This window comes from Homo sapiens, chromosome 4 (genome assembly GCF_000001405.40).
Source record: "Homo sapiens chromosome 4, GRCh38.p14 Primary Assembly".
NCBI lineage: Eukaryota > Metazoa > Chordata > Mammalia > Primates > Hominidae > Homo > Homo sapiens.
This window is the reverse complement of record NC_000004.12, coordinates 84,288,883-84,303,027: the sequence shown is the minus strand read 5'-3', so window position 1 is coordinate 84,303,027 and position 14,145 is coordinate 84,288,883. Positions and strand designations below refer to the sequence as shown.

Below are 14,145 nucleotides of genomic sequence, written 5' to 3'. Positions count from 1 at the left end.
TGATTTGGCTCTCTGTTTGTCTGTTATTGGTGTATAAGAATGCTTGTGATTTTTGTACATTGATTTTGTATCCCGAGACTTTGCTGAAGTTGCTTATCAGCTTAAGGAGCTTTTGGGCTGAGACAATGGGGTTTTCTAGATATACAATCATGTCGTCTGCAAACAGGGAGAATTTGACTTCCTCTTTTCCTAATTGAATACCCTTTATTTCCTTCTCCTGCCTAATTGCCCTGGCCAGAACTTCCAACACTATGTTGAATAGGAGTGGTGAGAGAGGGCAACCCTGTCTTGTGCCAGTTTTCAAAGGGAATGCTTCCAGTTTTTGCCCATTCAGTATGATATTGGCTGTGGGTTTTTCATAGATAGCTCTTATTATTTTGAGATGCGTCCCATCAATACCTAATTTATTGAGAATTTTTAGCATGAAGGGTTGTTGAATTTTGTCAAAGGCTTTTTCTGCATCTATTGAGATAATCATGTGGTTTTTGTCTTTGGCTCTGTTTATATGCTGGATTACATTTATTGATTTGCGTCAATTGAACCAGCCTTGCATCCCAGGGATGAAGCCCACTTGATCATGGTGGATAAGCTTTTTGATGTGCTGCTGGATTCGTTTTGCCAGTATTTTATTGAGGATTTTTGCATCAATGTTCATCAAGGATATTGGTCTAAAATTCTCTTTTTTGGTTGTGTCTCTGCCCGGCTTTGGTATCAGAATGATGCTAGCTAGCCTCATAAAATGAGTTAGGGAGGATTCCCTCTTTTTCTATTGATTGGAATAGTTTCAGAAGGAATGGTACCAGTTCCTCCTTTTACCTCTGGTAGAATCCGGCTGTGAATCCATCTGGTCCTGGACTCTTTTTGGTTGGTAAACTATTGATTATTGCCACAATTTCAGCTCCTGTTATTGGTCTATTCAGAGATTCAACTTCTTCCTGGTTTAGTCTTGGGAGAGTGTATGTGTCAAGGAATTTATCCATTTCTTCTAGATTTTCTAGTTTATTTGCGTAGAGGTGTTTGTAGTATTCTCTGATGGTAGTTTGTATTTCTGTGGGATCAGTGGTGATATCCCCTTTATCATTTTTTATTGTGTCTATTTGATTCTTCTCTCTTTTTTCTTTATTAGTCTTGCTAGCGGTCTATCAATTTTGTTGATCCTTTCAAAAAGCCAGCTCCTGGATTCATTAATTTTTTGAAGGGTTTTTTGTGTCTCTATTTCCTTCAGTTCTGCTCTGATTTTAGTTATTTCTTGCCTTCTGCTAGCTTTTGAATGTGTTTGCTCTTGCTTTTCTAGTTATTTTAATTGTGATGTTAGGGTGTCAATTTTGGATCTTTCCTGCTTTCTCTTGTTGGCATTTAGTGCTATAAATTTCCCTCTACACACTGCTTTGAATGCGTCCCAGAGATTCTGGTATGTTGTGTCTTTGTTCTCGTTGGTTTCAAAGAACATCTTTATTTCTGCCTTCATTTCGTTATGTATCCAGTAGTCATTCAGGAGCAGGTTGTTCAGTTTCCATGTAGTTGAGCAGTTTTGAGTGAGATTCTTAATCCCGAGTTCTAGTTTGATAGCACTGTGGTCTGAGAGATAGTTTGTTATAATCTCTGTTCTTTTACATTTGCTGAGGAGACCTTTACTTCCAAGTATGTGGTCAATTTTGGAATAGGTGTGGTGTGTTGCTGAAAAAAATGTATATTCTGTTGATTTGGGGTGGAGAGTTCTGTAGATGTCTATTAGGTCCACTTGGTGCAGAGCTGAGTTCAATTCCTGGGTATTCTTGTTGACTTTCTGTCTTGTTGATCTGTCTAATGTTGACAGTGGGGTGTTAAAGTCTCCCATTATTAATGTGTGGGAGTCTAAGTCTCTTTGTAGGTCATTCAGGACTTGCTTTATGAATCTTGGTGCTCCTGTATTGGGTGCATATATATTTAGGATAGTTAGCTCTTCTTGTTGAATTGATCCCTTTACCATTATGTAATGGCCTTCTTTGTCTCTTTTGATCTTTGTTGGTTTAAAGTCTGTTTTATCAGAGACTAGGATTGCAACCCCTGCCTTTTTTTGTTTTCCATTTGCTTGGTAGATCTTCCTCCATCCTTTCATTTTGAGCCTATGTGTGTCTCTGCACGTGAGATGGGTTTCCTGAATACAGCACACTGATGGGTCTTGACTCTTTATCCAATTTGCCAGTCTGTGTCTTTTAATTGGAGCATTTAGTCCATTTACATTTAAAGTTAATATTGTTATGTGTGAATTCGATCCTGTCATTATGATGTTAGCTGGTGATTTTGCTCGTTAGTTGATGCAGTTTCTTCCTAGTCTCGATGGTCTTTACATTTTGGCATGATTTTGCAGTGGCTGGTACCGGTTGTTCCTTTCCACGTTTAGCTCTTCCTTCAGGAGCTCTTTGAGGGCAGGCTTGGTGGTGACAAAATCTCTCAGCATTTGCTTGTCTGTAAAGTATTTTATTTCTCCTTCGCTTATGAAGCTTAGTTTGGCTGGATATGAAATTCTGGGTTGAAAATTCTTTTCTTTAAGAATGTTGAATATTGGCCCCCACTCTCTTCTGGCTTGTAGGGTTTCTGCCGAGACATCTGCTGTTAGTCTGATGGGCTTCCCTTTGAGGGTAACCCGACCTTTCTCTCTGGCTGCCCTTAACATTTTTTCCTTCATTTCAACTTTGGTGAATCTGACAATTATATGTCTTGGAGTTGCTCTTCTCGAGGAGTATCTTTGTGGCGTTCTCTGTGTTTCCTGAATCTGAACGTTGGCCTGCCTTGCTAGATTGGGGAAGTTCTCCTGGATAACATCCTGCAGAGTGTTTTCCAACTTGGTTCCATTCTCCCCATCACTTTCAGGTACACCAATCAGACGTAGATTTGGTCTTTTCACATAGTCCCATATTTCTTGGAGGCTTTGCTCATTTCTTTTTATTCTTTTTTCTCTAAACTTCCCTTCTTGCTTCATTTCATTCATTTCATCTTCCATCGCTGATACCCTTTCTTCCAGTTGATCGCATTGGCTCCTGAGGCTTCTGCATTCTTCACTTAGTTCTCAAGCCTTGGTTTTCAGCTCCATCAGCTCCTTTAAGCACTTCTCTGTATTGGTTATTCTAGTTATACATTCTTCTAAATTTTTTTCAAAGTTTTCAACTTCTTTGCCTTTGGTTTGAATGTCCTCCCGTAGCTCAGAGTAATTTGATCATCTGAAGCCTTCTTCTCTCAGCTTGTCAAAGTCATTCTCCATCCAGCTTTGTTCTGTTGCTGGTGAGGAACTGAGTTCCTTTGGAGGAGGAGAGGCGCTCTGCGTTTTAGAGTTCCCTGGTTTTCTGTTCTGTTTTTTCCCCATCTTTGTGGTTTTATCTACTTTTGGTCTTTGATGATGGTGATGTACAGATGGGTTTTTGGTGTGGATGTCCTTTCTGTTTGTTAGTTTTCCTTCTAACAGACAGGACCCTCAGCTGCAGGTCTGTTGGAATACCCTGCCGTGTGAGGTGTCAGTGTGCCCCTGCTGGGGGGTGCCTCCCAGTTAGGCTGCTCGGGGGTCAGGGGTCAGGGACCCACTTGAGGAGGCAGTCTGCCCGTTCTCAGATCTCCAGCTGCGTGCTGGGAGAACCACTGCTCTCTTCAAAGCTGTCAGACAGGGGCATTTAAGTCTGCAGAGGTTACTGCTGTCTTTTTGTTTGTCTGTGCCCTGCCCCCAGAGGTGGAGCCTACAGAGGCAGGCAGGCCTCCTTGAGCTGTGGTGGGCTCCACCCAGTTGGAGCTTCCCGGCTGCTTTGTTTACCTAAGCAAGCCTGGGCAATGGCGGGCGCCCCTCCCCCAGCCTTGCTGCCGCCTTGCAGTTTGATCTCAGACTGCTGTGCTAGAAATCAGCGAGACTCCGTGGGCGTAGGAGCCTCCGAGCCAGGTGGGGGTTATAATCTCGTGGTGCGCCGTTTTTTAAGCCGGTCCGAAAAGCGCAATATTCCGGTGGGAGTGACCCCATTTTCCAGGTGCCGTCCGTCACCCCTTTCTTTGACTTGGAAAGGGAACTCCCTGACCCCTTGTGCTTCCCAAGTGAGGCAATGCCTCACCCTGCTTGGGCTCGCACACGGTGCGCGCACCGACTGACCTGCGCCCACTGTCTGGCACTCCCTAGTGAGATGAACCCGGTACCTCAGATGGAAATGCAGAAATCACCCGTCTTCTGTGTCGCTCACGCTGGGAGCTGTAGACTGGAGCTGTTCCTATTCAGCCATCTTGGCTCCTCCTTGATTTCTTTCTCAGCTAGTTCGTTAGTTGTGTACAAAAACTCTACTGAGTTTTGTATGTTGATTTTGCATTCTGCAAATTTTTACTAATTTATTTATGAGATCTAAGAGTTTTTTAAAGAAGTCTTTAGGTTTTCATATGTATAAGGTCATGTCAGCTTCAGAGAGGGACATTTTGAATTTCTCTTTTCCAATTTGAATGCCTTTCTTTTTCTTGCCTGATTGCTCTAGCTAAAACTTCCAGTACTATGTTGAATAGAAATGCTGAAACTGGGCATCCTTGTCTTGTTCTAGCTCTTAGAGGAAAGGGTTTTGGCTTTTCCCCATTTAGAATAATGTTAGCTTTGGGTTTGTTTTATATGGTCTTTATTATGTCGAGTTGTGTTTCTTCTATGCCTAGTTTGTTGAGAGTTTTTATCATGAGGAGATACTGAATTTTATCAAATGCTTTTTCTGCATCTATTGAGGTGTTCATATGGTTTTTGTCCTTCATTCTGTTGATGCAATGTGTCACATTTATTGATTTGCCTATGTTGAACCATTTTTCTATCCCTAGAATAAATCCTGCTTAATCATGGTTTTTTAAAATGTGCTGTTGAATTCAGTTTGCTAGTATTTTGGTAAGAACTTTTGCATCTATGTTCATCGGGCATATTGATGTGTAATTTTCTTTTTTGTGTGTGTGTCCTTATTTAGTTTTGGGTTCAGGATGATGCTAGCCTCTTATAATGAGTTAGGGAGAATTATTTTCTCCCCAATTTAAAAAAATATTTTGAGAAGAAGTTGTGTTAGTTCTTCTTTGTAAGTTTGGTAGAATTCTGTAATAAAGCTATCTGGTTCTAGGCTTTTCTTATTGGGAGACATTTAATTACTGATTCAATCTTACCACTTGTTATTGGTCTTTTCAGTTTTTCTATTTCTTCTTGTTTCAATCTTGGTAGGTTGTATGTGTCCAGGAATTTATCCAATTCCTCTTGATTTTCCAGTTTGTTAGTGTATAGTTGCTCATAATAGTCTCTGATGATCTTTTGCATTTCTGTGGTATCAGTTGTAATGTATTCTTTTTTCATTCTGATTTAGTTATTTGCGTCTTCTCTTTTTCTTGGCTAGTCTATCTAGTGGTTTACCAATTTTGTTTACCTTTTAAAAAACCAACTTATTTTGTTGATCTCTTGTATTCTTCTTAGTTTATATTTGGTTTAGCTCTTCTCTGAACTTTATTATTTCTTTCCTTCCACTAATTTCAGATTTAGCTTGTTCTTGCTTTTCTAGTTTTTTAAGGTACATCATTAGACTATTTGAAATCTTTCAACTTTTTTATGAAGGTGTTTATTGCTATATACTTCTCTCTTAGCACTGCATTTGCTATGTCTGATAGGTTTTGATGTGTTGCATTTTGGTGTTTATTTGCTCCAAGACATTTTTTTTAAACATTTTCTCCTTAATTTCTTCCTTGACCCAATGGTCATTCAGGAATGTCTTATTTAATTTCCATGTATTTTTACAGTTTCTAAAGTTTTTCTTGTTATTTATTTCTAGATTCATTCCACTGTAGTTTGAGAAAACACTTGATATAATTTCAATTAAAAAATTTGTTGAGACTGGTTTTGTGTCCTAACATATGGTCTATCCTGAAGAATGTTTCATGTGGTGATAAGAAGAGTGTGTATTCTGTAGCTGTTGGATGAAATGTTCTGTAACTGTCTCTTAGGTCCATTTGCTATTAATTGCAGTTTAAATCCAACATTTCCTTGATAATTTTCTGTCTGGACAATCTGTCTAATGGTGAGAGTGGGGTGTTGAGGACCCCAACTATGGTCATATTGGAATCTATCTTTCCCTTTTGGTCTAATAATATTTACTTTGTATATCTGGGTGCTCTGGTGTTGGGTTAATATATGCTTAGAATTATGATGTCTTCTTGCTGAATTGATCCCTTTGTCATTCTATAATGAGCTTCTTTGTATCTTTTTACTGTTTTTGATTTAAAGTCTGTTTTGTCTGATGTAAGTATAGCTACTCCTGTTCATTTTTGGTTTCTGTTTGCACGGAATATTTTTTCCAACTCTTTATTTTTCAGTTCATGTGTGTATTTACAGGTGAATTTCTTGTAGGCAGCATATAGTTGGGTCATTTTTAAAAAATCCATTGAGCAAGTCTATATATTTTAAGTGAATAGTTTAATCCATTTACATTAAAGACAATTATTAATATATGAAGGCTTGTCCTGTCATTTTATTATTTTATTTTTGGTTCTTTTGTATAGCCTTTCTTTCTTTCTTTTTTATTGTTTATCATTATGGTTGAATAGTTTTATGTAGTGGCAACATTTGAGTCCTTTGTCTTCCTTATTTGTGTGTTTTTTCTCAAAGTGTGTGAATATTTTAAACCTCTCATACATTTGAGAAGATAGAACCAATTTAAATTCCCATTGATGTGAACTGGTAGAAGTGAAGGAAAGGGCCCATCTCATTGCACTATTACCAGCATAAGGTAATAGAATTTAGATAATCTTAATTTAGTAGGTGATAAATATTACTTTTAGTCCATAACAATTTTTTCTCATCAAATATTTGACAATTTTTATGGATGTGAAATATAATCATTAATCAAAAGATACCATAGTTTGATAATTTTTCATAATTTCTGAATTAAATTTTTTCATTCTCTTTAAAATGTTCTGTTGATATTGAATACATGATTTTTTTTTTTTTTCTGGTCTGGCTATTTTGCATTCTTTTGCTCTCTTAAAATCTTACATGTTTCAACATCTATGTTCCTCTTCTTTAGCATTAAAAAGTATTGTACTTCTTTTGTAACCTGGGTTACTTTAAATAATTAATTTTGCATTATGTTTAAGGGAGAGCCACAACTCGATAAATAGCATTATTAATATATTAGGTCAGTACAAAGTCTAGCAAGAGTTTGTTCTTTTTCTATCAAAGTTTTTGAAACTTTCTTCATTTCTTAGAGTGCCATGTAATTGCTCAGAATTTAAGAATACCTTTATCCTGAATGTTTTGCCTCAAAATGACATTTGCTAACACCATCAAAAAGTGGGCAAGGGATATGAATAGACGTTTCCTAAAGAAAATGTACAAATGGTCAACAAACATGAAAAAATGCTCAGCATCACTAATCATCAGGGAAATGCAAATTAAAATTACAATGAGATAGCATCTTATTCCTGCAAGAATGGCCATTATTAAAGTAAAAAAACAATAGATATTGGCATGGATGTGGGGAAAAGGGAACACTTGCATACTGCTGGTAGAAATGTAAATTAGAACAACCTCCGTGGAAGATTGCTTAAAGAACTAAAAGTAGATCTACCATTTGATCCAGCAATCCTGCTACTGGGTATCTATCCAAAGGAAAATAAGTCATTATATGAAAAAGACACTTGCACACATATGTTTATAGCAGCACAATTCATATTTGCAAAGATGTGGAACCAACGTAAGTACTCATCTACTAATGAGTGGATAAAGAAAATGTGGTATATATGCACCATGGAGTACTACTCAGCCATTAAAAGGAATGAAATAGTGTCTTTGGCAGCAACTTTAGATGGAGCTAGCGGTCATTATTTTAAGTGAAGGAACACAGGAATAGAAAACCAAAAACTGTATGTTCTCACTTATAAGTAGGAGATTAGCTGTGGTATGCAAAGGCATACAGAGTGATATAATGGACTTCAGAAACTCGGAAGAGGGAGGGTGAGAGGTGGGGATAGGGTTAAAAAAAAACTACACATTAGGTGCAATGTATACTCCTCAGGTGGCAGGTGCACTAAAATCTCAGAATTCACTGCTATATAATTTATCCATGTAACAAAAAAACACTTGTACTCTAAAAGCTACTAAAATAAAAAAAATTTAGATGACATTTTGCTCCCTAGCCCCTCCTCATTCAAATGTTACTATATGACTTCTCTGAGTTGCACTGTCTTTGCTCTTTTCCTCCAAAGCCTTGAGCTTTCCAATGAGTACACCAGGTAGAAATTTTCAAGCACAATTTTTAAAAAAGCAGGTTACTGAATGTAAGTAAAGATAGTTTCTATTCTTCTTTGTTATGGGCTGAATAGTGTCCCCTGCAAATTCATAAAGTTAAAGTCCTAATTTCCAATACCTCAGAATGTGACTATATTTAGAGATAAGGCTTTAAAGTAGCAATTAAATAAAAATCAGGTCATCAGGATGGGCCCTAATCCAATTTAACTGGATCTTTATAAGGAAAGGAGGTTAGAACACAGACACACACAGAGGAAAGACAGTGTTGAAGGCACAGGGACAAGACAGCCATTCACAAGCCGAAGAGAGAGGCCTCAGAGGAAACTAACCCTGCCAACAATTTAATCTTAGATTTCTAGCTTCTAGAATACTGAGAAAATAAATTTCTGTTGTTTAAGCCACCCAGCCCGTGGTACTTTGTATGGCAGCCCTAGTAAACTAATAGATTATGAATGAGTGGAAGGGCAAGCTGAGATTTAGGAAGGACAAACCATGAATACTCTTCTTTTCCTTGGAAAAAGAAAACCAAAGTAAAGTTTCTCAGCCAAAGGTGTAATATCAGCAAAGACTTATAAAGTGAATACAATGCTCTTTTTTTCTTTGAAAGTACACATTCTGAGGTGATGAAAAAAGAAAATAAGAATTTTGAAAAAAACTCAAGAAGTCTTGATCTCAATATGAGGTTTTAATTATTCATGGAGCCCTAGTCCCTAGAACTTCTGTAATCACTAGAAATGTGTGTTTATTATGGTGAATCATAAGAGATTTGTGGATTTGAGTTCCAAATCTGAATTTACAGCAGCTTGATTTAAGTTAAATTCCTGTCTTTATCCACACAACACTGCAGTCCCTGAATGCTGAGCTGGCCTGAAACTTCATAGTACCAATATATGATATTAGTTATCTTGTCCAGGTTATTGTGATGTGTAAAGATTAATTTTATAGCATGGAACCAAAATACACTCAGCTTTATTGGACCTTTTACCTTTAGCTGAGGAGAGGTATTAATAAGCATCAGGTCCTCCTTCAGCCAAAAAGTTATAGATTTTTCCAGAAAAGAGGAAAGGCATACTTTCCTTTAAAGAAATAGTACTAACTCTTACTAACAATAATCATGATATACATTTTTATAGGACAGAACAATTTGCAGAGTGCTTTTAGTATGCCTGGTTTTTTTTAGTCATCACAATCCTAGATGAGAGGTATCATTGAGTTTCCCAGAGGCAAAATGATTTTCTAAAATCACAAGGTTGCTTGGTTGGTTAGCTGGTAATTTTACTAGAACTCCAATATTAAGCTTACTGTTTTTGCCACAATTATCTTTCAGGATAAAATTTTTTATTTTCCTTTCCTTTCAGTCATGGTCTGGAGTCAAGAAATGAAGAGGGCAAGCAATGTTTTTGGCATCCTGACTACAGTTACATGCAGTTTGGGGCTGCTGCAATGGCAACTCAACGGAGAGGTTAGGAACACCAACTCCAGGATCAGGCAATCTTTGAATCCCTGTCACTAGCAGCTTTGTATATTGGAGCAAGTTACTTAACATCTGTAAGTCCTAGATTTCTCATCTTTAAAATGGGGGAAAATGCCTCTTCATAGCATTTTAAAAAATCTATAATGTATATAACAACCTTATATAATTTACTACCAGGTACTGGTTCAATGTTAAATGCCTCAACAGCACCTTTTAAAAATTCAGGGCCAGGTGCGGTGGCTCATGCCTGCAATCTCAGCACTTTAGGAGGCCAAGGCGGGCAGATCACTTGAGGTCAGGAGTTTGAGACCAGCCTGGCCAACATGGTGAAGTCCTGTCTCTACTAAAAAATACAAACGTTAGCCGGGCGTGGTGATGCACGCCTGTGATCCCAGCTACTTGGGAGGCTGAGGCAAATTTGCTTGAACGTGGGAGGCAGAGGTTGCAGTGAGCTGAGATCTGGCCACTGCACTCCAGCCTGAATGATAGAGTGAGACTCCATCTCAAAAAAAAAAAAAAAAAAAAAATCAATAGTATTTAGCAACTTTCAAGTCAGACTCAGGTTGGGTATTATCATTAATGCAACAGAACATGCTCTCTTAACACTTTTTTCCTGAAACTTCATTAAAAACAAACATCTGTATATGGAAAATTTGGTTTGGGGATTAGGTCAGATTGTTTATGGAAAGGTTTTTTTGGGAAATGATCTGAATCTTTGTTGTCATACATGGGCTCTTCTCTCTGGTTGATCCCTTTTTCCTTAAAATTTATATTGTGGGGAAAAGTTTAAATAAAACATTTTTCAAGAATTGAAACTTCAAGTGGAGAGGAGATAGGCAATGTGCAAATTTTGAGGTGGCGGAAGTTAACACAGGCTCGCAGGCCTTCCCCTGTTGTGCTGACTGTGCCTGTTTCCCAAGGATTTGTACTAATATATAGCATATTTTATACATAACTCTATAATACAATTACATTTCTCCAATGCATGTAGTATTTTCCACTTTATGGAATAATTCATTTCTAACTATGGTATTTACATTTCACCCTGTAGTAAATTTTATCTTTTATTTGAAGTATGCTTTTATAACATCTAAGTTCAACAAATAGACTGAGGACAGAGGTAAAGAGGTTACTCTAGGTCAAGGCACAAATGGAAAACGTGCTAGCAGCATTAAGCTCCAGTGATTAGAATTCAGAGAAAAAGACTTCTTTCTTTAGTATGATTAATCTAGTTTTGTTCCATTAGGAGATGGTTTCAGCCCTTGTTGATTAAAAATGAAAGACAACACTAACGTAAAACACAGAAAACAAAGATTACTGGATTATTGGCAATTTTTTTTCCAGTTTTAACTTTTATACTGTTTTTTTTGTATTATACTTTAAGTTATGGGATACATGTGCAGAACGTGCAGGTTTGTTACACAGGTATACACGTGCTATGGTGGTTTGCTGCACCCATCAACCTGTCATCTACATTAGGTATTTCTCCTAATGCTATCCCTCACCTAGCCGCCCACTCCCTGACAGGCCCCTGTCAGGGGCCTGTGTATGATGTTCCCCTCCCTGTGTCCATGTGTTCTCATTGTTCAACTCCCACTTATGAATGAGAACATGTAGTGTTTGGTTTTCTGTTCCTGTGTTAGTTTGCTGAGGATGATGACTTCCAGATTTATCCATGTCCCTGCAAAGGACAAGATCTCATTTTTTATGGCTGCATAGTATTCCATGGTGTATACATAACCACATTTTCTTTATTCAGTCTATCATTGATGGGCATTTGGGTTGATTCCATGTCTTTGCTATTGTGAATAGTGCTGCAATAAACATACACATGCATGTGTCTTTATAACAGAATGATTTATATTCTTTTGGGTATATACCCAGTAATGTGATTGTTGGGTCAAATGATATTTCTGGTTCTAGATCCTTGTGGAATCACCACACTGTCTTCTACAATAGTTGAACTAATTTACACTCCCACCAACAGTGTAAAAGCATTCCTATTTCTCCACATCCTCTCCAGCATTTGTTATTTCCTGACTTTTTAATGATCACCATTCTAACTGGCGTGAGATGGTATCTCATTGTGGTTTTGATTTGCATTTGTCTAATGACCAGTGATTATGAGCTTTTGTTCATGTTTGTTGGCCGCATAAATGTCTTCTTTTGAGAAATGTCTGTTCATATCCTTTGCCCACTTTTTGATGGAGTTGTTTGTTTTTTTCTTGTAAATTTGTTTAAGTTCTTTGTAGATTTTGGATACTAGCCCTTTGTCAGATAGATAGATTGAAAAAATTTTCTCCCATTCCATAGGTTGCCTGTTCACTCTGATGATAGTTTCTTTTGCTGTGCAGAAGCCCTTTCGTATTTGTTTGTGTCCTCTCTTATTTCCTTGAGCATTGGTTTGTAGTTCTCCTTGAAGAGGTCCTTTGCATCCCTTGTAACTTGCACTCCTAGGAATTTTATTCTCTTCGTAGCAATTGTGAATGGAAGTTCACTCATGATTTGGCTATTTGTCTATTATTGGTGTATAGGAATGCTTGTGATTTTTACACATTGATTTTGTATCCTGAGACTTTGCTGAAGTTGCTTATTAGCTTAAGGAGATTTTGGGCTGAGATTATGGTGTTTTCTAAATTTACAATCATGTCATCTGTAAACAGAGACAATTTGACTTCCTCTCTTCCTATTTGAATATGCTTTATTTCTTTCTCTTGCTTGATTGCCCTGACCAGAACTTCCAATACTATGTTGAATAGGAGTGGTGAGAGAGGGCATCCTTGACTTGTGCCAGTTTTCAAAGGGAATGCTTCCAGCTTTTGCCCATTCAGTTTTATATTGGCTGTGGGTTTGTCATAAATAGCTCTTATTATTTTGAGATATGTTCCATCAATACCTAATTTATTGAGATTTTTTTAGCATGAATGGATGGTGAATTTTATTAAAGGCCTTTTCTGCGTCTATTGAGATAATCGTGTGGTTTTTGTCATTGGTTCTGTTTATGTGATGGATTACATTTATTGATTTGCCTATGTTGAACCAGTCTTGCATCCCAGGGATGAAGCCAACTTGGTTGTGGTGGATAAACTTTTTGATGTACTGCTGGAATTGGTTAGCCAGTATTTTATTGAGGATTTTTGCATCAATGTTCGTCAGGGAAATTGGCCTGAAATTTTCTTTTTTGATTGTGTCTCTGCCAGGTTTTGGTATCAGGATGATGCTGGCTTCATAAAATAAGTTAGGGAGCAGTCCCTCTTTTTCTATTGTTTGGAATAGTTTCAGAAGGAAAGGTACCAACTCCTCTTTGTACCTCTGGTAGAATTAGGCTGTGAATCTGCCTGGTCCTGGGCTTTTCTTTGTTGGTAGGTTGTTAATAACTGCCTCAATTTCAGAACTTGTTATTGGTCTATTCAGGGATTTGACTTCTTCCTGGTTTAGTCTTGGGAGAGTTTATGTGTCTAGGAATTTATCCATTTCTCCTAGATTTTCTAGTTTATTTGTGTAGAGGTGTTTATAGTATTCTCTGATGGTAGTTTGTATTTCTGTGGGATCAGTGGTGATCTCACCTTTATCATTTTTTATTGTGTCTATTTGATTCTTCTCTCTTTTATTCTTTATTAGTCTGGCTAGCAGTCCATCTAGTTTGTTAATCTTTTCAAAAAACCAGCTCCTGGATTCATTGATTTTTTGAAGGGTGTTTTCATGTCTCTCTCTCCTTCAGTTCTGCTCTGATCTTAGTTATTTCTTGTCTTTTGCTAGGTTTTGAATTTGTTTTCTCTTGCTTCTTGCTTCTCTAGTTCTTTTAATTGTGATGTTAAGATGTCGATTTTAGATCTTTCCCACTTTCTCCTGTGGGCATTTAGTGCTATAAATTTCCCTCTAAACACTGCTTTAGCTGTGTCCCAGAGATTCTGGTGTGTTGTGTCTTTGTTCTCATTGTTTTCAAAGAATTCATTTATTTCTGTCTTTATTTTGTTATTTACCCAGTAGCAGTCATTCAGGAGCAGGTTGTTCAGTTTCCACGTAGTTGTGCAGTTTTGAGTGAGTTTCTTAATCCTGAGTTCTAATTTGATTGTACTATGGTCAGAGAGACAGTTTGTTATGATTTCCATTATTTTGCTTTTGCTGAGCAGTGTTTTACTTCCAATTATGTGGTCAAATTTAGAATAAGTGTGATGTGTTGCTGAAAAGAATGTATATTCTGTTGATTTGGGGTGGAGAGTTCTGTAGATGTCCATTAGCAATTCTCGTGTCTCAGCCTCCCAATTACAGGTGTGCACTACCACACACAGATAATTTTTGTATTTTCAGTAGAGACAGGGTTTCACTATGTTGGCCAGGCTGGTCTTGAACCCCTGACCTCAGGCAATCCACCTGCCTCGACCTCCCAAAGTGCCCAGATTACAGACAT

The 14,145-nt window shown here is 37.5% G+C and overlaps 1 long non-coding RNA gene across 1 annotated transcript in view; it reads left to right on the top strand.

Moving 5' to 3' along the window:
- The first annotated feature begins 3,858 nt into the window (after nt 1-3,858).
- The window catches only part of LINC02994 (long intergenic non-protein coding RNA 2994), a 331,088-nt gene continuing 320,801 nt past the window's right edge, over nt 3,859-14,145 (top strand). The window contains exons 1-2 of the long non-coding RNA NR_125909.1: nt 3,859-3,904; nt 9,619-9,808. This is a non-coding gene — a long non-coding RNA (long intergenic non-protein coding RNA 2994). The remainder of the gene's footprint in view (nt 3,905-9,618; nt 9,809-14,145) is intronic.